Source organism: Homo sapiens, chromosome 6 (assembly GCF_000001405.40).
Source record: "Homo sapiens chromosome 6, GRCh38.p14 Primary Assembly".
NCBI classification, from domain to species: Eukaryota; Metazoa; Chordata; class Mammalia; order Primates; family Hominidae; genus Homo; species Homo sapiens.
In genome coordinates, this window is record NC_000006.12 from 52,039,750 (window position 1) to 52,065,878 (window position 26,129).

The 26,129-nt window shown below is 41.2% G+C and overlaps 1 protein-coding gene across 21 annotated transcripts in view; it reads right to left on the reverse strand.

Moving 5' to 3' along the window:
* Window positions 1-26,129, reverse strand: part of PKHD1 (PKHD1 ciliary IPT domain containing fibrocystin/polyductin) — a 472,317-nt gene that overhangs the window by 424,451 nt on the left and 21,737 nt on the right. For 20 of the 21 annotated variants that reach the window (XR_001743469.2, XM_017010944.3, XM_017010945.3 and 17 more), the window contains 15 exons: window positions 25,206-25,301; window positions 22,770-22,911; window positions 20,179-20,293; window positions 18,574-18,852; window positions 17,141-17,230; window positions 16,949-17,039; window positions 15,838-15,980; window positions 14,289-14,416; window positions 13,327-13,502; window positions 10,408-10,546; window positions 8,743-8,870; window positions 6,255-6,439; window positions 5,217-5,339; window positions 3,876-3,981; window positions 3,110-3,385 (listed from right to left, as the gene is read on the reverse strand). Coding sequence is in view for 20 of the 21 variants with exons in the window: in XM_017010944.3 (XP_016866433.1) it covers window positions 3,110-3,385; window positions 3,876-3,981; window positions 5,217-5,339; window positions 6,255-6,439; window positions 8,743-8,870; window positions 10,408-10,546; window positions 13,327-13,502; window positions 14,289-14,416; window positions 15,838-15,980; window positions 16,949-17,039; window positions 17,141-17,230; window positions 18,574-18,852; window positions 20,179-20,293; window positions 22,770-22,911; window positions 25,206-25,301 (2,217 nt within the window). In the remaining variant the exon portion in view is untranslated. Of the gene's footprint in view, window positions 1-3,109; window positions 3,386-3,875; window positions 3,982-5,216; window positions 5,340-6,254; window positions 6,440-8,742; window positions 8,871-10,407; window positions 10,547-13,326; window positions 13,503-14,288; window positions 14,445-15,837; window positions 16,885-16,948; window positions 17,040-17,140; window positions 17,231-18,573; window positions 18,853-20,178; window positions 20,294-22,769; window positions 22,912-25,205; window positions 25,302-26,129 lie in introns of those variants that run through there. The other variant, XM_017010949.3, reaches the window with a different exon arrangement.

Sequence of the window (26,129 nt, forward strand, 5' to 3'; positions counted from 1 at the left end):
TAGGTATATACCCAAAAGAACTGAAAGCATATATTCCTGCAAATCATTGTACACAAATATTCATAGCAGCCTTATTCATAATAATCAAAAAGTGGAAACAATCCAAATGCACATGATGAGATGGATGGAAAACAAAATATGGTATATCCATACCATGTAATATTGTTTAGTCATAAAATTGAATAAAGTACTGATACATGTTACAACATACATGAACCTTAAAAATATCATGCCAAGTAGAGAAGCCAGATGTAAAAGGTCACATGTTGCATTATTTTATTTATATTAGATGTCTAAAATAGGCAAATTCACTTAGACAGAAAATATATCTGTGGTTACCAGGGATTGGGAAGAGGGAGAAACAGTGACTGACTACTAATGTATACAGGTTCCTTTCCATGATGATGAAAATGTTGTTGAATCAGGTGGTGATGAGGTATACAACTTTGTGAATATACTGAAGACTGCTAAGTTTATACTTTTTAAAAATGAGTTTTATGATATGGGAATTATATCTCAATTTTTTAAGTTAAAAAAGAGATCCTTGGGGTAAAGAAAAGAATAAAATATCCTACCTATTTCTAAGGTATACTACCCTAGGCCAAGCCAACATTATCTCTCCCCTGGATGTCTGTCATATCCTCCTAACCGGTCTTGCTGGTTCCATCTTTGCCTCCCTACTGTGAGTTCTCACACAGCAGCCTAAGTCAGATCATGTCACTTCACTTGAAATCCTCCAATGGCCACCATCTCACTCAGAATAAAAGCTGAGTGAGCTGAGGGCCATTCATATCCCCCAAGGCCATATAACTTGCTTTGGGTCATCTTCTACTGCTCTCCCCTCACTCAATCTACTCCAGCCATGGCAACCTCCATGACATTCTGGAACAAGCCAGTCTAACTTTGACTCAAGACTTTTTGTTCCTTGATGTTCCTTCTGACTTGAACTGTCTTCCCCAAGATTTCCCCAGAATTCATTCCTTCACTTCACCCATATCTCCCTTCTCTAAGGCCACTCATGTCATTCCTCCAATGCCAATGACTATACCATCACAACCATCTACTCCATCCCTCTTCATCCCCTTCCCTTCTTGATTTTTATCCTATACACTTACCATCACTGCCCCAAGAACAGAGGATTTGTTTTTATTTACTGTATCCCCAGCATTAATAATGCCTGGTAATAAAAGCTAAATAAATTGTCATTATGATTATTGTTGATGGTAACAATTAAAGGTTGAAGAGGTGATGATATCTTGCCATTCTCATTTGAAAGTTTAGACTATGGCCACACAAGAGTCCGTACCTTAAAGAAGACAATGCTATCTCAGCACAAAAATGAATGAAGAAAGTATGTAAAGCAAAGCCAAGATTTTCCTCAAAAAAATCCTTTCAAGGGTTTTGCTTCTGCAAATGGGTAGGTGGTGATTTATCACATTATTGTATCCATTCATTACATATGCAAATATTCTGTAAATTTCTTGCTGATAGGCCCCAGCCTGGTTCTCTTTAAATACCCCAGAGCATCATTTCTCAAACTGTACTCTTCATAGAGATTGCCTGAGGACATGTTAAAATGCAGATTAATTCAGAAGGTCTGGGGTGGAGCCTGAGACTCTGCATCTCTAACAAGCTCATGGGTATTACAGATACTGCTTGTCCAGGACCACACTTTAAGGACCAAGGTCTTCAGCACCTCACACAGGGCTAAATGGGATGGGCCAATCAGTGTTGAGTGAGTGAGTACTGATTAACTCATAGGTGGCAGGGCAAAGGAAGAATTAATAGAAAAAGTTTAAATCCAGTAATAAGGAAAGCAGCAGCTAGAGCCTCTCTCTCTCCCTCTCCCTTTCCCCATAGTCTTAATAAAAGATAATTTCTACCCGCTTGGCATATCCCTTCTCAGAGTTTTCCATCTTTTGCTAAAATAATGTACAATCCTCCTAGAAATCCCTTCACTGAACAGCATGTTCTGATAGGGTAACCAACTCACTCCAATTTTCCTAGGACCAAGTTTTAGCACTAAGAGTTCTGCATTCCAGTTTTAAAACTGAGTCTTGTGTCCTGGGAACCCCCTCAGTCCCAAGCAAACTGGGAAAGTTGGCCAACCTACCTGTGCAAAGCACTTTGTCTAGGGGAAACAAAAATGACTGAGTCACCTGTTTGCCTTAAGGTGGAGGGAGCTGAAGAAGGTATGTGTGGCCTGAACAGCAAAGGTAACTTTGAAAGAAGATCAAAGCCCCTTATAACTCTATAGAGAAAACTACACTATGCCCTACACTCAAACCAATAATTACTGGGTTAATACAGAATATGATCTTTCACTCTGAGCTCCATATATCATCTGACCTTCCTTAAATCATGGAGAAATAAGTGCAAGTTATGCTTGCTTTGTTTTATGTGCAGAAACAAGGTGGGGTGGGCCTCATAATTCACTCTTCTAGGCAAAATAGGGTCAGAAAAAAATCTGTTCTTTTGAACAATGAGTTTGTGGCCAAACCACACTGCTTTTAAATATGTTCTAAGCTGCAGTCCTCTGGACTCCAGAATAAACCATGACAAAAATCCAAAGCATTAAGGAAAAGGGCTTTATGCTCTAATGTTTATTCGTTAACAAACATAAGCATCAGTATTCCTGAGATTCTTGCAATCTGGCTGGGTTGTTTTTAACTGGCTGTGTCCCTCAGAAAGCAGAAAGTCATGGAGAAATATTTGATTTTCCATAGAACTAACCCAATTCATAAGGCTATGTTGACAAGACCCACCACCCTCTGTATTGCCCACTACTCAAATGGCAATCAGTTTTCCATGCTAGCCAAGTATCCCAGTGTGCATCAGTTCACAAACTTATGAAATATCAAACATGTATGAAAGTTATGTAGGACCCAATTATGCCTGACACCACCAGCCAAACTATAATCCTTTATGTGGCAAGTGAGTTCATTTAAGGGCTCAAATGTTTGTTGCTCATTTAAATACTTATGTCAGTAAACAAAAGACAGTGAGTCACAGTGAATATGGAATTCATTACACAGAAGGACTAGATTCCTATCAGCAAGAACACTAGCTTCAGAGGGTCAGACATACTGTGAGACCCTCCCCAGATTACCAATATCCGCAGCTCTGGAAGGCTCCACCATATCCAGTCTAGGTTTCACATTTAGGAAGAGGTCTTCTCCAGTGGCACTGATGGCAAGACCAGAGGGTCTCACCAACATCAAGATCCGATGCATTCCAACAGGTAGCAAATCTGTCTGACAGACTACATTGGTCTGGTTTGAGAAAATAACTTTGCAACTCGTTTTGTTCACTGTAACCTGCAAGAACTGGGAGTCACCAGAGAAACCAGTTCCGGTAATGTAAATCATTAGGTTGATGTCACCATCTTAAAGGAGAAAAGAAATTAAAAAACAAATAAAATAATCTCTCAGTGATATTACTTCATTTGAGAGACCTCTCACTATCATCAAATGTTCCTTCTCTGCCCCCATCCCCTCCCAAAATTCAAGGAGCTGAATGCTGAATTAAATATTGGCCATCTGTATTTGTTATTGTAGTACACAGCCCCGATCTTAAATTTTCTCTAACTAGTGAGAAGTGATCACTGCTCAATTTTTTAAAAGAACATAATATTTCAAAATAAAGGACAAAGACAATAAAACATTTTTAGTCATCAAAAGTCCATCTCTCCCCATTTCAAATCATGACCATATCCCTTAGATGGACCAAAAAATACACTTTCTGCTACGTCACTCAACCTCTGCCTAATGAACTAATTTATCTTCTACCCACCCATCACCAGCTACATGGCCTCTAACAAAATCACTGCAAGTCTCCGGCTTAAGCCCATCTCAGAGCCAAGTGACAAATCATACCAATGGAGTACCACACAGAATGGACACAGGGAGTTGACCCTTGGAGGTACTGGAAAGAGCAGGAACCTGGGCAATGAGCTGGTACATCATTCACTCGCACAACCACCTGAAATGAGGCAAAATTTCTTTTCCATTTTATGCATTTCATATCTACCAGGGTATTCATAAAGTATATGTGAAGTGCTCCCAAGCTGACACGTGTTCATGATTCGCTAATTCTTATTCCTTTTTTCTATTTTTCCAGTAATTAATCTTAAATTGCAATGAATGGCTCAAAACACATGAAGCTTTCTTAAAATGATGGTGGACATGCTGAACCCCATTTCTGTAATTAAATGTGATAAATATTGAGTAAATTTATCTCTGTCATATAGAAGTAAACTTCATAAACTTAAACTGCATAAGGACTTCTTATCACTCTGTATTTCCAACCAGGTACCTACTTTATGTGACAAGCTCTTTATTTGCTAGTAAAGACCAACAAATTTGGTGCATTCCTTCCACCACTCTGTGAATATATAACTAAAGACTAGAGTGTATTTGGACACTTTACTTGGGGTCTCTTTTGTCACAGAATGGTAGATTCCTAAAGAGAGACTATATATCTTTCCCTTTCACTGGAACTAATGTTAATCTAATAGAACTCAAAAACTACTTGGAAATGAGAAAGGTAAAAAAGATGTGACCCCACTGATTCTCTATGTATAAAAAATGCATTAATAGCATACAGATTATATTCATGACAGTGTTTCCTTATTAAAGGAAGAGGTATTGCAATGGCATGGACAATAAAGAACACTTCAATTTTATCTGTACTGTTTCATTTTTTCCATAAAGACAAAAAATATAAATATATCAGAATGTTGACAATGTCAATTTTCAGTTTGGGTCCCCAGGTGTTGATAATATTATTCTTTATTGTTTTTGTATTTTAAAACTTTATCAAATTGAAAGTAGATGACCTATAACAGAAATATGGAAAGATAGGAAAAAAATAAAAGGACTTTTTAAAGACAAAAAGAATGACTTAGCTCATTTACTTTTTGATACCACCAGGTAGAAGCATAAATCATATTTAGCTATAGAAATTATCAATTTTTTGTACCATAACAACAGTATCAATAATTATAATAGAATATTGTGGTTACAAGGCATTTATATTTTCAGGGAACTGTACATACCCTGTGGAGGTAGAAAAAGGACAGCCATAAGTACCCCTGTTTTACACATTGGCAAAATGACCCTTAAGAGCTAAATCAATGAGTCCATGTTACAAATCAGTGAGGAGTGAGTTAGACTTGAAACTGGAGCTTGCACTTAGGGTGGCCCATTCACTCTCACCTGAGTATGCTGGTTGGCAGTAGCCAACATGTCTCCAAATATGGGTCCAAGAAAAACTCCACCATCATATACCACACGCGTGGCTGCAGCAGGATTCACTCCAGTAAGGTTTTCATCAGAGACCTGAGATGGTTACATTTCTGGTAAATTCTGTCATGGAACCGAAATCTAATCTCGTCTAATCAAATAATAAAGAGTTTTTTCACATTGTGTTTCAGATAATCAGACAGCTAGAAAGTGAAAGCAGAGTAACAGAGAATTGAAATATAGAAACGTAACAGTAAATAATGGCTGAGGAAAGTCCCAGTAGATTAGAGAAATATTCATTTGCAAGTGGATTGCCAAAAGAGGTACAATAAATCAATCTTCTCTCTAAGTCTTGAGACACTTTGCTTCTCCATGCTTTTCCATTTTATATGTTTGCAATCCAAAATATTAAAATAAAGTGGAAAGAAACAGTGCCATGAGATAAGAGCAAGGTCTCCCATTCTTCCTCCATCTCCTTTCTAGAATTTCGATTGAAAACCAGATAACCCACAACACCATACAACTAGGAAAAATTTTCATCTTGGGCTTCATTTTATAATAACCAAATGCTAGTTGATCATTAGATTATTTTTTAAGACCCTAAATATGCAAGAGCATCTGGTTTTGTCATTACCCAAAGACAGCAAATTCTTTTCTAAAATTCCTTCTGCTATGCCATCTGCTTCCACAATCATCTAAGTCAATCACATCTGCTTAAATTATCCAATAACAGATGTAGAATTATTGCATGGTGGACACTGACCAATAACTTCACTACCTACACTGAGTTAGGAAGGGAGATGTTGGGTTTAAATTGCTTTTTCAGGGATATGATATACAAAATATGTGTTGAAAACTTCCAGAAAGAAAGTTCATAGAATCCCTTTACTCAAATATTCCAACAAAATTAATAATTCATGACAGTTTCCATTTGTATAATTCTGATTTTTTTTTTTGCAGAATTTCTCCAGGGCAGCAAATCCATGCCACTAGAAGGGATACTATACATACCCTGATAAAATTGGGCAAATCCCCAATCTGAGTGGACCAGGACAAGGTCCACACGTGTTCGTAGCAAGTGTATAGATCCTCCTTCACAGTGAAGTCACTGGCATTGAGGTACCTGGATGTGAAGTCATCGGCATTATTCTGTAAGAGCTGGTGAAGGTGATGAGCAGAAATTTGTACAGGGACATCTGTGAGAGAAGGTTTTGATACAGAAAACACAGACACTAATTAATCCACCTTACAGAGTTTCATCCTCAAGGATAACACGATACATACTAGGATGCCTATCAAATTTTCAGGAGACCCTTCTGTCAAAGTAGAACTTCAGTAGAATCCCCAGCCATAATTAAACCATTTTTTCCTAAGGTAAAGACAAGTAGATGCCCACTTTTTATATTACACTATCTTTCACTCATACCATATCACACAGCAATCAGAGAGCACAGCCATGTCAGATAAAACCATCTCAACTGTCAACTCAAAATGTAAACTCCACACACCCTTGTAATGCCTGAAAGCATAATTAAATATTAGATCTTCCCTGGAAAAATTTAGCTGGCCCTGTGAACAGAGAAAAATTGGCCACTTTTCACAGGGAGTGAGGGAGGCGTACAGCAGCTGACACCCATAAAAACTTGGCCAGCCCAGCTGAGGAATGTTGGCATTTAACTTCAGTTTCTCTATTAGAATTTTCTTTAAGCCCAACCACCTGCTTCCCCATTCCATGTCCCCACAGAAGAATAACAGCTCTCTGTATTTGAACCCTGCTTTGTGCTCTACCAGAAGTTCCCATTTCATTAGCTGCTCCCAGCAGCCCTGTGAGGTGGGTCATTGGGTATCCTAATGTCTACTTTAGGGATGAAGAAAATGAAACCCAACCATATGCAGAAGCTTGCCAATGCAGAAAGACAGGTTTACATGAAAACACAGGTTGCCTTCTACCTACTCAAGAGCATTTCTCTTGAATTCCACGCTGCCCTGAAGGGCTAATAAAATATCACTGCGTTTCTAAATTGCAAACGAAATTGTTATCCTTTTACAAATCATGTTTCTACATTTATACAGAGTTTCAGATCCATCATCATTCAAAAGGCCAGGCCAAGGCTGACTTTCCCAGTTGTTTTGCAGGCGGTGATCTGAGGATCATCAGTGATAGAAATCAGTAGCAGGAAGTCTCTACGGATGAGCTGTCTTCCATGAGAAGTAAAATCAAATATAAATAGCACAGTAATGAGCCTCATAGAGGCAGGGCACGATTGATGTTTTTTCCCCCATTTACCAGAATCAACACCTAGGGATCTTCGACTTCTCCTGAGTCACCCTATTATAATAAAAATACCACTCTGTTCCTCTCACCCAAGAAGGTCCTGTGCAGGCCTAGGGACTTTCTGCTTGGGAGGGCAAAAGACTTTTGGACCATGTTCCAACTTTTATACAGCCCCTCTCAAGTTCTACTGAGCCTTGCTTCTGATTCCCCATGTTTCTACCAAATAAGTAACGTATCATTATCACTTCTAATCTTTGTTCTTTGTGCATTGTATGTATTCTTGAAGATTTACAAACACTACTCTAATTGCATCTGAAAGTTCTTTCTACATTTGTTGGGACCACTGAAATCCTCCATAGTACATGGTGTCACCATTAAGTCTAACTCTGACGGACCATGGCTACCATGTATCTTGGTCTATAAAACTCTAGAAAGAAGAGGACTGACCCAGGAATCAAATACCTGGGTTCACAACTGGACCCTGTCATCAGCTATTTGTATGACCTTTTGGCAAGCTTCAGTGTAGTTGGCTGAACGGTGAACCCCCTAAAAGATGGCCTAATGGCCTAATCCCCAGAAAATATGAATGTTAACTTATAAAGCAAAATAATAAACTGCATATGGCAAAAGATGTGGCTAAGGGTCTTGAGAGGAAAAATCTGTCCTAGATTATCCCAGGTGGACCCTAAATACAATTATATAATAGGTACCCTTATAAGAGAGAGGCAGAGAAAATTTTGAGATAGAAGAGGAAGAAGCAACGTGACCACAGAGGCGGTGGTTGGAGTGATATGGCCACAGCCAAGACATGCTAGCCACCACCAGAAGCCAGAAGAGGCAGGAGCAAATACTTCACAGGAGTGTGGCCCTGCCGACAACTTGATTTTGGACTTCTGGCCCCAGAACTGGGGGAGAATCATTTTTTGCTGTTTGAAGCCACCAAGTTTGTGGTTAACTCCTTACAACAGTCCCAGGAAGCTGATCCACTCAGTTTCCACAACTATACATCTTCCGCATCTACAAAATGTAAAGGTTGGGGTAGCATTAACAATAAGTCCCTTTCCAAATCTTTCACTTTAAGAATGTCACTTTCAGACACTGGAAAATAAATAAAATAGCTTTAATATTATCACCTGTCTGACAACCTCCCAGGATGTTGTTCCCTTGGGAATGTGAGTGAGAATATGTGAGTGAGAATTGTTGCAACCCCAATCACCCCTTTACCAGAAATCACTGTATTAGGAAGCTGGATGCGAAAGTGTCCTCCTAGAGGTGGACTTGTCCGCTGTCGTCTCTGTGTCGTCACCAGGACCAGTCCAGATCCCTCTTCTGTTCCTTCAGTGGGCACAGAGCTGTGGCACGTCAGAAACAAAGTATTAACGTCTGGGTTGGGGTGTGCACCTAGGAGGACCTTGTCTGAAGGATGTCCTGTCTTGCTTAGGCTGCAGCCTTCCAGAAAGAGCTAAGGGACCTGAGGAAACTCAGTAAGGGAGTTTTCAGGACCACTCGATGTGAGAATCATTTCAGAGTAACTTAATTCGTGTCTATCATTTCAGAGCTAAAAACGTTGGCATTTAGAGCCTACCGATATGGTGGGCTTCCTCTCTGCCACTGAAGATGTCTCACCTCTTCATTTTCAATGGATGGTTTTATTGCTTTTCCTGCCCAGAGGACCATGGAACAAACATTTAGTCAAGGAAAGTAAAGCACGGGTTCAAACTTTCTGCACCTGCCTTTAATATGCCATTGCAGCATGCTGTAGGTACGAGAACTCATTTTGGAACATATGAGAAAAAGATGAGAGAAAGAAACCTATACAGTTATGCATCACTTAACAGTGAGGATACATTTTAAGAAATGCATCCTTAGACAGTCTCATCATTGTGCAACCATCATGCAGTTTACTTACACAAACCTAGATGGTACAGCCTACCACACACCTAGGCTATATGGTATAGCCTGTTGCTCCTAGGCTACAAGCCTGCTGCTGTACTGAATACTGTAGGCAATTGTAACACAATGCTACATATTTGTGTATCCAAACATATCTAAACATACAAAAGCTACAGTAAAAATATGGTAGTATAATCTTATAGGACCACCATCATATATTTGGTCCATCACCGACAGATACATTGTTATGTGGTGCATGACTGTATATTTAGACATATATGTGTATACACATATATACACTGTGAATATATATATCCCTACACCCACATATACATATACATACATCAAAGGCAGAGCACTCAATTCTTCCCATTCTACTGGGGTTTAGGTGAAAAATTAAAAGAACAAATTAGAGTATACATGTGTTCCAGAAGCTTAGAAGAAGCCTGATCCTTAGTTACTGCTTTGTAAACTGTGGCTAGAAATGGTTATTATGAAGCAATGCTTATGGGGCTTTAGTGCCATCTGGTGGTGAGTTCTTAGAAATAGCTATTTTTCTTCTCTAGACATTTCATTTCAAAGGATTTCAACAAGATTAACACATGAGGAATGCAATGAAAAGAACAACAACAAAACAAAACAGTGGTGATGTGAACCTCTGAACAGCACAAAATGCCACTATTTTTAAACTAACTGACTCGGAATTAGTTCTCAAAGCGTAGTCCCCAGACCAGCAGAATCAGCATCACCAAGGAACTTATTAAAAATGCAAATTGTCAGGTTTTTCCCCAAACCTACTGCCTTAGAAACTCTGACAGTAGGCCCAGTAATTTTAACAATACTTCCAGGTGAATCTGGTGCTGCATTCTCAAGATTGAGAACATTGCTTTAAGCAACAAGACAGGTAGCTTTTCCTGAAAAAAGTCACACCTGTGTCCCTCAAGGCCAACAAGCATTCTTAGGAGAAGGGACAGGTGTAAAAAAGCCACTCCTTACCGTGCAGTGATGAGCGGGAGCTCCGTGCCACACCCCGCCAGCCAGGAGGTGACACTGTAGACCGGAGGGGATCCCACCACAGAGACTGATTCCACCAGATTGCCCCCTGGGCGAGCCGTTCCAGAATCAGCTTGAGAAACTAGAGACCAGTGATCCAATTACTATCAAGTGACTTAAGATGGTAGACTTGCTGTGTGGAAAATCCCAGTTGGAAATGTGAGTTACTCAGATCTCAGTACACACCTAAAGCATAGATTCCTACTTATCTGCTGCCATAAAGAACACATGGAGAGGACGCAGGAGGATAAGCCATTCAGTTTAGTACAAAAAGGAAAGTGCAAGGTCCTGATTTAAGGAGATGAAGATTGATTCCATAGAAAAGTTCAATAACCCCACAGCTAGTAAAATGTCACTCCCTATGCTCTTGGAGGCACTCCTACACAGTTAATCTATTGCAGTATAGCCTGCCACCCTTTCCTCCTTTCCTTCCCACAGCCCCTGGCAACTCTAGGGATGTTTAGCTGATCCTCTTAGGAGCACTGAACTCAGAGGCATACACAGGGGCACTTGGGTGTTTATCCACAGTGTGGAGCCAGCATGTGTGCAGAAAGGGTGCAAGCTTTAAGAGAGACCACTGGTCAAATCCTGATTTTTTCACTTCTATTGGATTCCCACTCAGCTAATCCACACACACTCCATAAGACTCAGTTTTCTTATGTGTAAAGCGGGGATTATGACATGCATGATTGATAGCAATCAATCTGACAAGGAGAGCTTAGTGAGATTTAAGATTTAAAATGATCAGCACAATATCAACATCCTTTTAGCTTCTTCCCCAAGATTGGTTACAATGGAGACTTTAAAGAGTTTAAGGGCAACACCTTTGTCTAATTCGTCTTCTCATGCTTGATGCTTAGCACATGCTAGGCATAGACTAGGTGGTCAATAAATGATTACTTGCTCAGCTGGGTAGATCAGTTCGAGGGTCAGTGATCATTAGATTCCGATCTCCTCCACAGCTCCGCTGTGTGAATTGGGGCAAAATACTCCACTCCTTTTAGCCTTGGTTTCCCCACCCATAGGTGGGGATAACAGGACCAACTCATGGGCTTCTGAGAACTAAACGAGAAATAAATGGAAGCTACCACTATCCAGTGGTAGTGGGAGATACAAAGAAGTTTCATAGAGGACATTAGTCAGGGGAATATCATCAAGTATAAAATTGAGATCAGATAAATGATATACAATTAACTATGAATATTGAGCCCAATTGTGTAGTTTATGTTGCCATTAAATAATTCTGAAAACAAAGCCATTGCCAGCAGGGTTAATGTGATAAAGTGGGAGGCAGACCGTTTCATGTATGCTACCCCCATCTTCCCTCTTGTCTCCGCCCTCTCCCTTCCTGCTCCCACCTCACCTCACCCCTGGATGATTCCAGATACACAGAGAATTTGGTGGCAAAGAGGTGAGGGCAGTAAGAAAAAGTTCTGAATCCTTGGCTTCAAGTGTTTGGCGAGGCAGAATGGCATTAAAGGGAGAGAAAAGAAAACTGAACAGCACCTATTATCCAGTCCTGAGTTTTCCAACTAGTGGACTCCAGTGTATGAAATATTGATTCCCTCAGCCTTCTGGAAATTGAGGCAGCACTTGGGGTCACCAAAGACCCCCAGCCAGTTGTCTTGGGCACCAAAAAATTCAGGCAGTCACCCAGCACGTCACTTGAGTAGTGTCATTTTCTAAGTGTGCCAGAGCACAAACAGGTTTGGAACAATAAGCAATGACCCAGATGTCCCCAAAACACTTAAACTATGGAAACAGAGGAGAGATGGGATTTTGATGAGAATCAAAGATGATGTAATTTCAAGGCTGATAAAGAGTCCTCTTGCCACCCATCCCCAAGTTCCCCTGCCTTCAGTACTGCAATGTTTAGGCAAAAGACTGAAAAGTTGTACATTTTCTAAATCAAAATGTAAATTAAGGTATCATCTTTTTCTTCTTGGAGAGGGAAATAAACTATAAAAAGTAGGCTAGCTGAGCCCCAAAGCCACAAGGGATTTGACAGAGAAGGAAACATGAGCAAAAGTTGGAAGCCTGAAGACACTGAGGGCAAACTGCACCATTCTGCCTTGGCTGTGGGCGCACATCACACACAGACACCTCAGCAGGGCCCAGGAGGAGGACTTTGTCCCTAAGACTAGCGGGCAAGAGCCAGGTGAGACCACTGTGCCCAAGAGTGGTCAAGGGAGAGTTCGGGAAGGAAGAGCCGGGCCTGATCTCTAAATAATGAGTAGGAAGAGTCTGGAGAGACAGAAAGGACAAGGGCCTTCTCTCTGAAGAAGATGATTACCTTCTAACTCTCACTGCGTCTGTCTTGAAGGTTGTAAATCAGACTCTTGGCCCATTTACAGAGACAGACACTGCTGAGTTCCTTCCAGCACCTGGTATGACATATTAACTCATGGAAAGGTGGAGAAATCCTGCTAGTCTAATGATAACAATAATAATAACAATAATTGCTTATATTTATTAGACACCTTCTATGGACAAGACCAGTAAGGAGTACTTTATATTAAACTTTAGTTAATCTTCACCGTAATCTAATGAAGTAGGGTCCTTATTATACCCATTTTACAGATGAAGAAACCAAGACTTCCCAGCAAGAAAGTGGGAAAACTGGAGTAAGAATACAGACACCAGAAGTAAGAGAAAATCGTGGGGAAAATAGGAAAGAAGAGGGACTAGAGAGACATAGTACCAAAGACACATAATCCCAGCCCCATCTGTTTTCTAGAGCCAAGGCAGGCAAAAAGGAGGATCACCTGTTCTCTCCTCATTAAAAAAAACAGTAACCCCTAGCAGGAAAGTTTGAGGTAGGCATGTGACCGGCTTGTGGAGGAGAGAGAATTTGATGATTACCTGTTACGTTTGTGTCTGCAATAATAATTTCATCCACATAGAACAGGCCCGTCTCCTGGGCCAGAGGGAGAAGGTTGATCTGATGAACCAGCACTGGGGAGTTTGCCGGAGGGGGCTGGAGATCCCCGAAGCAACGCACACAAGTCTCCCAGAGGTCAGTGCAATCGAACTGCCAGCTGAAAAACAGCATGGAGCAGAACTGGGCTCTCAGGGAGCACTTGCAGTCCTCTCCGGTTAGAGCCCTTGTTCCCAACCTGGGGGGCCTGTGAGCTATGCAGCCAGGAGAGAGACCCCATGAACCCCTGCACCCAAGCAGTCCTGGGTGCCAAGGCTACAAACATCCCACCCAAGATGGGATCAGCTCAGCCTTGGTTATAATGCTAGTAGTCACCTTTTAAGTCAATCATTCATCCATGACATGCAATGTCAGCAGCATTTTCAAATTACAGTTTAACTGTGTGTCTTAAGCAAATTATAATGTGAGGCTGTAACCACAGAGAAGATTGATACTTCTGGACATTACCAGTTTCATTTAGGTTTAAGACCATTTACAAGACCCATGAGAATTATGTGGAAAGCACTGAATCAAGGGATCAAGACAGCTGAATTTTATTCCAGGGTCACTAGCTGAATGAATTTTGATGAATCACAAATTCTTGGGGCCCCAAATTTCCTCTTTCTGTCATGTCAAAGAATGTTCTCTAAGGTTTCCCCCAACTACGCTGTTCTACAATTCTATCCCTATGAGAAATGTCAGACTCCCTCTAGGGAGTAGTATATTCTTAACAACTAACTGCTCTGGAGTCAAACTTTTTTGTCAAATAAAATATATTCAAATCCCCAAATTAGTGTATGAGGCCCAAATATAAGACCATTAGTGCCTGAGGTGGGTAACTGTCCCCAAAACAGTGAATCCTCCCAGCTGACTGAATTCCCACCACGCCTCCCCACCGATTAGCTACCTCTCGGGGCTGGTCCTCGTGAGACTCCAGTCACAGGTGGTATTCTTTACCATGTTTTGAAAGCCGATTGTGAAGGACACAATCATCTTCAGGATCTTGTTCATGTGGCCTTTGTATGCAAGACACAGCTATGGACACCAAATAAGTCCTTCAGTTCTATTAGTGCAAGAAGCAGTCATTCAAACAATACGTAGTGAGGAGTCCACATCCCTAGAACCCTGCCATAGGCTCTGAGAGAGTCAGCACAGTTCCTGCCCTTCCAGAGCTTACCAGTGTAGCCAGAGAGACAAATAACTTAAATTGTTATTTCCCTACCTAAATAAAGCTAAGGAAAAATACAATAAATACTTTTTCTGAGACCAAAAAAATGTCATCAAACAGAGTTTTTAAATGCTTAGCACTGTGCTTGGCAGTGAGGATTTTAGAGTATCTCACTTAAGAAAACCCCTGTTCTAACCCAATTACCCGTGCAACCTCGAGCAAGTAACTCAACCTCTCTGAGCCTCAGTTCCTCAACTCTAACTCCCCAGCATCCTTGGTTTCTAACTCAGTTAAAGGCAAAGCTGTTGCCACAAGAAGACTTTAGAGCAGGAGTTTTCAGCCTCGGCACTATCAATATTCTAGGGGCTGGATAATTCTTTGTCATAGGGGCTGTTCTGTGCATTATAGGATGTTCAACAGCTTCCCTGGCCTCCACCCACCAGATGCCAATAGCACTTCCCCAGTTGCAACAACGAAAACTGTCTCCATACATTGCCAACTCTTCCCTGGGGGGCAAAATCACCTCCACTGGGCGCCCCTGCAGAAGAGATGAGGCTGAAGAAGGGAGGAGCTCAAGCCTGAAACATTTAGCCCCAACTCCCACAGCAGCCCAACTAGGAAAAGACTAGAAACTACTGCCATGAGCTCCACCACTCCAGCAAAACTCACTCTGGTTCCCAAAGGGCAAATCAGCTGCACTTCTTTTACAAGGGTGGTGGAGCTATCGAAGCAAAGGATTTAAGAAGTGTTTGCGAAATGCATCAGACAATTCAATCCATCAATAATGACAACAACTAGAGTAATAATAATTAGCCTTCACTGGGTCCTAACTGTGCAGGCACTTTACTAGATTATCTCATTTAATCTATACCACAGTCCTGAGAGATAGACCACATTACTGTCCATTTTACAGATGAGTAAATGAAGGCATACTGTACTTAAGACAGACATGGAAGGTACATTGGGTGTGGAATCAGGATTTAAAACCAGATAGTCCAATGACACAGTCTGTACTCTTAGAGATCAAAGAAAATATTGTAGCAAATAAAAACTTTCACAAGTCTCACAGCTAATACAAAGGCATTTCCAGGTAACAACACACAAGTGGGGGCCAGTGGTGTCCATTCATACCTGAAACAGCAGTCGAGAGACCTAGAACCTCAGCCTGAAACACCTTGGGCAGATCACAGCAATCACTCCTTTGTGCTTCTGAGTTTTCAGTCTTGAATCCAGAGAGCAATACCAATACCTACCCACCTGACCCAGAAGCACAAAGACTGCTACTCACGTGTGTATACTGATCTAGCCGATAGCCCTTCTGGGCAGCCGGGGGAGTAAGGACAAGGTGTCGAGGCTGACGGAGGCTGAACCTGCCACAGAAGGGCTCCGTCCCACTGGTGAGGTCCCCATCAGAGTTGGAAACTTCTGGGCCTGGATGCAGTTCAGATAAAATAGAAAGGCAGGCATAGATATTAAAAAAGACAGAGCTTCCCTACATGTGTGCATGAGGATTTTAGAGTATCTCACTTAAGAAAACCCCCGTTCTAACCCAATTACCCATGCAACCTTGAGTAAGTAACTCAACCTCTCTGAGCCTCAGTTCCTCAACTCTAACTCCCCCAGCATCCTTGGTTTCTAACTCAGGGACAAAGTTGTTGGCACAAGAAGACTTTAGAGCAGGAGTTTTCAACCTCAGCACTATTAATATTTTAGGGGCTGGATAATTCTTTGTTGTAGGGGCTGTCCTGTTCACCATGATATGGGCCCCTCAGCCCTGGGAGGAATGGCCACAGCATGAGTGGTCAGCACCCCTGGCTTGAAAGCTCCAGCTATAAGAAACTCATTCTGTGTTCCCTGGAGCCTTGAAAACCCTTTAGCATTTTCTCTGTGTAGCAGGATACGGAAAACTATTGAGAAGCAAAAAGACAAGGAATATCAAGATGGAAGAGGTGTTCAAAAATAACTAGAATTTAGTTCGCCTTAGTAGTAGTTTTAAAAACATACCCTAACATTTTAAGAATTTCTTAAGACTACTTTCTTAAGTAGTAATTCCTTTAGATGTAATCTGAAGATTAGCATGGTTTTGGCTATGTTTGCATGTTTCTCACCTATGTCTTTGACCTTTTCCCACCGTGTGGCATGGGGAGTATAGGAGGGTGCTGCACTCTACCTAACAGCCCAGGAGGAATGCCTTTCCTTTCTATTGACACCCACCGAGCATCAACCTCCCAAGCACAGTGCAGTGCCAGTCCCTCAGCCACTCAGTGTCCAAATCCAGGTTTCATATTTTTTTTTTACTCTGTTATCACCTTGGAGAGGAAATGGGGATTGTTCTCATTTTATAGAAAGAAAGAAGACCATGATGAAAAAGACAATCAGAATGAAGCCACGGACAGCACCTCGTTCAAATCCAAGCCGGAGAAGGATGTTAGACCAAAGGGGTTCCAGTTTGCATTTTACTGCAAGTAACTCCTCAATGGTTGTTTGAATCTATTACAAAGGAAAAAAATGCCAGGAATTTATATCATGAGCATAAAGACCACCCCCAGTTCTCCCACTCCCCTCCCTCATTTTTTGAAGAAGTCTCCCACCAGATGGGCTGTGGCATTTGCAGGGATTGGCTGACTAGAGACATTGTCCCAAGTAAGGAAGAAGTTTCCTCTGCCTGATACATTCAGCACCTAAAAAAGTCAAGACAGACAAGACTAAATGATGGTGCTAATTAAGCCAGAGAGACAATCTAAGAACACAGGACATTCCTCCTCAACTTGCTATTTCCTTTTTATTATAATTTTAACTTTTCAATGCTTTAACATTCAGAAATCTCTGAGGAACACAGCATCATTGCCTAATGAGAACTTTTGTTGGACTAACAGAGATGTCAGTCTTCCTATTTATCTGTGCCCCTTGATTGAGAGTATGAGATGTAACAGTTGCCATTGAATGCTGCACTTTCAGCCCCTCTCACCAATTGCTTTCTCCCAAGGGTAGCCCAGCAGGCAGAAGCAGCTCCATGGCATGCACCCTCTCTTGGAGGCTTATGCAGTCTCTGCTTTGCTTCCAACACATCAACACATTCCCTGTAGGGCACATTATAGTTTTGCTACTGAGTAAGTTCTATGCAGCTTTTTTTTTTTTAGATGGAGTTTCACTCTGTCACCAGGCTGGAATGCTGTGGCGTGATGCCGGCTCACTGCAACCTCCGACTCCCTGGTTCAAGCAATTCTCCTGCCTCAGCCTCCCAAGTAGCTGTGATTACAGGCACATGCCACCATGCCCAGCTAATTTTTGTATTTTTAGTAGAGATGGGGTTTCATCATGTTGGCCAGGATGGTCTCGATCACTTGACCTTGTGATCAGCCCGCCTTGGCCTCCCAAAGTGCTGGGATTACATGCGTGAGCCACCACACCTGGCCAGCTTTTAATCTCTTAAATCAATTGTTACTTTCTACTTTGTTCTATGGTTATTTGTGCACATGTTTTACTTTTAGACTGTAAGCTTTAGAGGGCAGAGTTCATATTGATTTGTCTTTGTACACCAAAAAGTGAACAACAAAAACTATAACACATAAAAACTCTTCAAAGAAAATATGGGGCACAGCTGAGAGACCCAAAGGACATGACCTTTTCAAAGTAGACTTAGAAAACACAGGCTATAGGGAAATAGGACCTCAATCAGTCAAAAATTATGGAATTTAATGTGTATATGCTCACATGCATGCACGCATACATGTCGGGCGTGTGTTTAGAGGACCTTGTCTCTTTTCTGGGAAATAAGTTTCTAAAAGAAGACTTGCTTGGAACTTAAATTCCTAAAACTAACTCAATGAGTAAGATAATCTCAGGAATAAGACATCACATTTTTGTAAACATCTTCACAATGCTGTTAAAGAGATATCCTATTTCTTTGACAGCAAGGTTATAATGACCCCTCAGGTCGCCAGACTCCCAGTCAGTGCTCCTGCTACATGGGACTTTATTCCTTCCAGAGTTCAGCTCCATGGGACTGGAAAGAGACACAGACCTGTACTTCTGGAAGCCTCTGGGCTCGGACTCGGATCTGGTGCTTCTCCCGTAGGTAAGTGGTGACCACATCAGGATTCAGCCAGGTGTTGTGAATCTGGACACCAATCCTCATCCCCCTGCTTGGGGCTATCCCATGATGCTCTGCTTCCAGGTAGTACATGGCTCCACCCAACAGCTCCAACTTGGGAGTCTTCTGCTGCCAGGTCCCTTCATCCCTATTCTGCTCCCAGGAGTCAAACCAGTCAGCAGTGCCGACGCTGATGGAGGCCACTTTCACCTATGCCCAAATAAGCATATCATGATCAATACTATGCAGCTTCCAGGCATCTCTTTCTCAAACACTAAGTGTCTGAACTGCTACTATCAAGAGAGTTTTGAACTGGTCTGCCTTTTTAACATATTAACCCAGTTACCTCAGCCCTGTGGTTATTTATGCTTCTCCAGCTCTCTATCTATCTATCTATCTATCTATCTATCTATCTATCTCTTACAATTGAGTAGTACTCAAATGAGAATAGATGGGCCATGTTCAGAGAAGGAACAACCAACCTAAACCCTAGGATTACATGACACTATGGAGAAGGTAGTATTAAGCCCTTCAGAGACCTCGAATGACTTGATCACATCAAAATCTATGACATTTCTCCAATAAACTAGCAAATCAATTTCAGACATACATAGTAATAATTTGAGGAAAATATTGTGATTCTTTGTCAATAGCATAAGTGCATTTTGGCTGCTGTTAAAGGCATCTTTTCTTATCCTTCAATGTTGTTGAGGAATTCCTACATACAGCTGCCTACATCTCCACCCAAAATTAGTGGAAAAGGCACAAGTTTTGTAGTCAGGTAAATTTGGGGTTGAATCCTCAATGTGCCTTTTGCTATCCAAGTGGATTGGGCACACAATCTTTCTTTTTTTTCTTTTTCTTTTTCTTTTTTTTTTTTTTTTTTTTTTTTGAGACAAGGTCTCACTCTGTTGCCCAGACTGGAGTGCAGTGGCAGCCACGACTGCCCAAGGCTCAGGTGATCCTCCTGCCTCAGCCCCTCAAGTAGTTGGGACTATAGGCATGCGCCACCATGCCTGGCTAATTTTTGTATTTTTAATAGAGACAGGGTTTTATCATGTTGCCCAGGCTGGTCTCAAACTCCTGGGCTCAAGTGATCTGCCTGCCTCAGCCTCCCAAAGCACTAGGATTACAGGAATGAGCCACCACACCTGGCCCACACAATCTTTCCAAGCCTCAATTTCTTCATGTGGAAAAGATACATACATATATCTTTATGTATATATGTGTATATACACACAAACACATACATAATATATATACATATATACATACATACATACATTTTGCAGAGATGCAGTGAAAACTAGAGACAAGGTCTATAAAAGATGTAGCATAATATTTGGCTTACAGTAAATGCTCAATAAATAGTACGTTCACATTCAAACAAGTTCTTTTTCAACAATTAAAGTTCCTGATCATCCAATGGCATGTTAAACTATCTGTAAAACATGAGAGCCTTAACTTTGATTCTTTCTTTCTTCATGGGTATGGGACTGGCAACAGAGAAAAGGAAAATGAGAAGACAGTGAATACCTTAGTCCTTGGTTCCTCTGACCAACTGAAATGCAAGGAAGCTTGGCTATCTGCCTGAATCCAGAAAGTGTAATTATTTGTCTCTGGAGCCACAAAGAACCCACTGAGCCGTGCTCTGTAAAGTAGAACATAGAGTCAAGCAAGAGTAACCAAGGCCTGAATCACTGAACCAACAAATGACTGCCCTTGTACTTTGTCTTCTTTTATGGTAATAAAGAAGAACAACCTGATTCTTATGCCACACAATTGTCCAGAATATTCTAGAAAGAGATATAGCACCTGCCTAGTCTCAGTAGCCCAATACATCTCTACACTGGACACAAATACCCTTGCTGTTGTGTCATGTTTGGGAAAGTTGTAGCCACAGCACACAGCTATACGGAAGCTTAGCTGACAAAACCACCTAACACAGCTATTGCAAGCCCTGGATCATGGTAGAAGCTCAATCTATAGTAAATACTATTCTTATTATTAGAAATAAAGACAGATTGCTTATGAGAATTTGCTCTGAGCTTACCAGCTACCTCAACACCTGCAGAGAGCATTTTTCTAATTAAAAATATTATGATCCACAGATAAGCGTCAATTCAAAATGTCAACAATTTCAAATTAAAACCCATCAAATGCAACTTTGAAGAAGATTACAGGCAATTTCATAAAACATTTTTTAAAAGATAATATTTTTAATATTTAAATTCCAGCAACCTAATATTATAGGCAGATATAGTTAAAGAACTGATTAGACTCTGTAAATAAATACCAAGAATATTTTCTGATAATGCTATTTTCTTAAATCTTCAGATGATCAATATAAAGATGTTTTTAAATTTTGCTTTAATGTACATACATTATCTTTATTTTTGAGATAATTTCATACCTAAAAATAGCTTCAAACATAACTACTTTAAAAGTCCACAATATAATTATATTAACTTACCAATAAATGAATATTTTAATTTTTTAATTTAAAATTTTTAGATTTTAAAGAGATTAATGAGAGAGGGAATGGAAAATTAGTTACTACCTGGCTTGTGGTTCCTCAAAATGGCAGTTAAAGGGACATACCCTGCAACACTTACTATAGAAGTCAAAATGTTCTTTTGCCTTTTGGGGTAGGCTGACTCACTCCTTAACACTCCCAAATACACCAAATGCAGCTGAAAGATTTTCCTTTGAACATTATTAAATGGTCGTTAAAAACTATGATAAATATGAATTATTAGGTGCTACAATGGACCACAAATTAACTGCCACATTTTTGTTTATTTGTTTCTTTGTTTAAAGACAGAGTCTCACTCTGTTGCCCAGGCTGGAGTGCAGTGGTGTGATCATGGCTCGCTGCAGCCCTAACTCCTGAGCTCAAACAATTCTCCACTTCAGCCTCTCAAGTAGCTACAGGTGCACACCATCACACCTGGCTAATTTTTTATTTTTTACGTTTTAGAGACAGGGCCTAGTCCCAAACTCCTAGACTCAGGCGATCCTCCTGTCTCAGCCTCCCAAGTAGATGGGATTACAGGCTCAAGCCATAGCATCCAGCCTTAACTGCCACTTTAAAACCATAAACTCATGGTTAAGTACCTAGTAAGTAAGGCTTCAGGAGACACTTTCCTGCTCACAGATTACCAACCCTACTTGGCTTATTCAATGCCTAAAAATTCTCTAAGCTTTTCTTTACACAACTGAGTTGAAATCTATTAGATTGGTGCAAAAGTAATTGCGGTTTTTGCCATTACCTTCAACGGTAAAAACCGCAATTACTTTTGCACCAACCTAATAAAATGGTAAAATATTTGGAGGAGGTCACAGACTGACTGAAATTCACACTCATGAGTCACAGTCATCCTCTCTAAGAAGGATTTCAAAGGGAAAAGAGATCCATCATTCAGTAAAGGATCCATCCTTCAACATATACACTGAGAACACACTAAGGAAACAGTGTGTCTAAGCAATTTTCAAGCTTTTATATTTTTAAGTTTACTTTAGAATACTAGAAATTTTGGCTACATCCTTGAAGGGACTAAAAAGACTAAAGGAATTACACACCATTAAACAGGAAAATTAGAATCATGATGCCATCACTACTACTGAAAACAATGTCTCACAGAACCCGCAAGAGCTTCCCCTACTATACAAGGGCCATTGGGTTGACCTTCAGCACTGGAAGGCTGTTCCTACAGCATGCTGCCTAGGCTTTGCTCCCTCATGTACCCAAAGGGCAAATTCTTGGATCTTTCTTTGGCATCAACCAGATGTTAGTTTTACCTCTTAACCAGGTACCTAAAGCATGTTTTACTCTGCTGTCTTTCCAGTCTCCTGGCCTGCTCAGCTCAATGTTCTAGTTGATAATCATCTCCAAAACAGATTGTAAACTAAGTTGTGGAAAATATACATATTACATATTGATCAAAATTTGTCCCTGCACTAGCATGACCAACACTGATTGAGAATACTGTCAAACTCTGTTGTTGTTGAATTGGCTAGTGTTATAAATTCCTGGAAATCTTGATACCTTCCTTATCTGTCTCCTAGCCTCACCTAGGTTAGCAAAGGTGCTTTTGATGTGGGCTCCCACTTTTCCTACAACATACCTGAAAGGTTGTCCTTCCTGTGACCAAAACCCAAATGGAGAACTGGCATTAGGGACAATCTGCCACCTGTACCCTGGGGTGGCTTCAGTCAGTTCCAGTCCCTCAACAGCATCTCCAACTTCAAAAAGAAGCCCTCGATTGCCTGTAAGACATGTAGATCGCATAAACATTACAGGGCGCACCTTCCCAAATTGGGGAATTACTTTATTTTAAATTACAAGGTGAAAGATGACCCAGATGCTACCTGTAAAGGTAAGTCAACCTAGAGCCAGATAGAGTAGTTATATGAAAGGTTCTGTAGTTAATATGAAATACAAATGTTCCGGAAAGTAATAAACATTCCATGGGTTAGGAGTTAGCCTTTTTTAGCAAGAGTTCCTAGAAAAGAGAATCAAGTCCTGGAGAAAATGTGAATTGAATGAGCAAACAGAAGCTGAGGCTGAGTAAAAGGAGGACAATGTGACTGTGTGCTGGTGACGTGGCTTGGCTTTGTGCTTCCCAAAGCCAGAAGTGGGCTTCAGTATCTTTTAAGTCCCAGTTCTGCTGTGAAATTCAATTCTCTAAAGTCTTTTTTCCCCATAACATTGGCAATCCTTAAGTTTCTCAAGTGTCATGGCCTCAATTTGTGGACCTGCACACAGAGCCAAATATGTGGCATGCTGCTATTATGTGACATTTTAAATGATATTGTATTAATTTATATTTTGTGTTAAGCAAACCCTGAGGCCAAAGGCACAGGTGCAATCAATATTGAATGCTAACTTGGGCTGAAGGCAAAACTCTGGAATCCCAGCTAGACGTGTAGCTTTGAGCAAATTCCTTGATGTCCTTGCATCTTCATTTTCTCATGCATCAAAATGGGACCAATAATAAAATAGCAATAATACACTAGGACCAAGGGAAAATATATACTCAAAGAGCCTGGAATACAGTAAGTGCTCAATAAAGGTAATTATGGTAATTATTATTTTAAACTAATACTGTTGTTCCTCAACAACTCCTAAAAGGGAGAGGTGGATAAGGAATAAACAGAAAAGTAAGAGCATATTTTGAAAATATTACTTTAAACCAGGGTTTCTCCACCCCAGCACTATTGATATTTTAGGCTGGGTAACTGTTGTGAGGGGGTGTCCTATGCATTGCACAATGTCTAGCAGCCTTCCCAGCCTCAGCCCACTAGATGTCAGTATCATCACCACCACCACCACTTCCGGTCTAACAGCCAAACATGTTTCTACACATTGCTACGTGTCCCCCGAGGGGCAACATTGCCCCTGGTTGAGAACAATTGGTTTCCATAGTAATTCGCCCAGCTTCTGTGGAAGAAACTTCAAAAGCCCTTCATAAAGGACAACACTAACTGTCAAACCAGCTGCATTCAGGAAATTATCCTACCACTACCCAAGTAGCTAAAGCAGGAAATACTGAAAAAGGGAGCAGACTCTCTATTTCCTGACAGGAAACACACATTATCTTGATTACTTGTTTCAGTAGTTTTGTTTCCTTGGATGGAAGCTTTCCCTGAGTAAAAACTGCAGATCTGGGAGCTGGAGAATTCTCAAGCCAAAACTTTGCATGCATTTTCACACCTGAATGCCCTTTCTTTAGAAAGGTTTCTTCCCCTGCTGGGCAACTTTCCTTGTAGGTGCTGTGCCTCTAGAGTTGACTCTCGCTGCCTGTAGTTTAACCATTAAGTCAGGCCCTTGGGCACAGATGTGCAGCCTGTGGTTCTTGGCTGAGTAACATACCAACTGCCCTTCATCCCTGACTACACTTGAGCCTTCAGTTCTAATGCTCAGCAGAAAAGTGCTCCAGTATTGTGCTCTTAATTTGCTGCTGTAGGGTGGATGCTTTAAACAGAGAAGGACAGCTGGAAGCTCCCTTGCCTCCTCCATTTCTGCCCACTTCAGGCATAACCTGGTGGCAACATCACAATATATCCCTGTTTCTCAAAGCAGCAGACAGATGCCCACAAGAGAGAAAAATTCATATTTAAATGCATCCCATTGTGCCCTACTCTCCGACCTTGTCTAATGCTGTTGTTTTGAGCATAGCAGAGCACACTCTAACGCTCCTGTCTTCTTAGCCAGTGGACGTGCAACTGACCCATTGAATGAAGGCGGGCAGTTTGGGGGTTTCTTCCAGTAGCTATAACAATATCTTGAGGGCAGTTATGCTTTCTAGACCATGGTCTCTTCTGGACGCCACTGGCCATACAGCTGGCTGGAGCTAGAAGTGCAATGTCACTAAGCACCTGAATAAAGCTAAGAGCCTTCCTGAAAGGAGAGCCTTGACAATGGTATCATGGACCCAGGGCTCACTGAGTAAGCCAGTCAAATAGATGAGAAAGAATTCAAACACTTTTATTTCTACTCGCCAGCCCATCATGATTAAAGATATTCAGAGTTTATTGAACAGCCCTGGTGGCTTCCTTACCTGGCTGAGGGGTGGTGAGCCTCACATCTTTTCCTGGAGCCCGAGTGGTGCACTCAATCTTCCTGGGAGACACGTGTCTAATATCACATGGAATGCCTAAAGCGAATTAAAGAAATTTATGTATGTGTGTGTGTGTAGGTATACATATATATGTATATGTGTGTGGGTATATGTATAATTATATATATATATATATATATATATATATATATATAGAGAGAGAGAGAGAGAGAGAGAGAGAGACAGAGAGAGAGAGAGGCAGTCGGGAGATGTGATGGCAAGACCAGACTGAAGTAGACAGGCTCCTATTCTAAGGCAAAGGGCTGGGTGTGGATGGAATAGCGAAAGTTGTCACCCCAATTGAAGGAGAAAAGAGAGAGTGCAGAGCAGCAGAGCATAGGGCAGCGTGGAGTATTCAGAAGGAAAGCCATGCAATGGAGTGCTCTTCATTGGGGACGTACTGAACCACCTAACTGAGCATGGGAGGTAAGTGTGACATGACAGTGTGAGGACACCCTTGGTGTCACCAACTACAGAGGCATCCCACCTGCTACAGGACCTGGCAAAACAAAAGGCTCTAGACAGGTCCATAAAAGGGTTTGCCAAGGTTGGGGTGCGGGGGATTTCCAGAGTAATCTGCATAGCAAATGCCCACCCACTCCTGCTTGTCTATATCAAGACAGCTAACAAGGGAGAGTGAAGAGAGGGGCTGTTTTTAGTAGAAGTAAACCTTTGTCAAGAAGGAGCTGTATTTCTTTCTTTCTCTTCACTCACAAGATAGGGGCACCTGAGGGAATTGCCTATGCATTGTGAGTGTGTCTGCAGGACATTCCATTCCTGTGACCCATGTACTGTAGGACCAAAATCCCACCTGGTCTCAACCAAACACATGACTTATCAAACATGATGAGTCAGAAGGGGCAA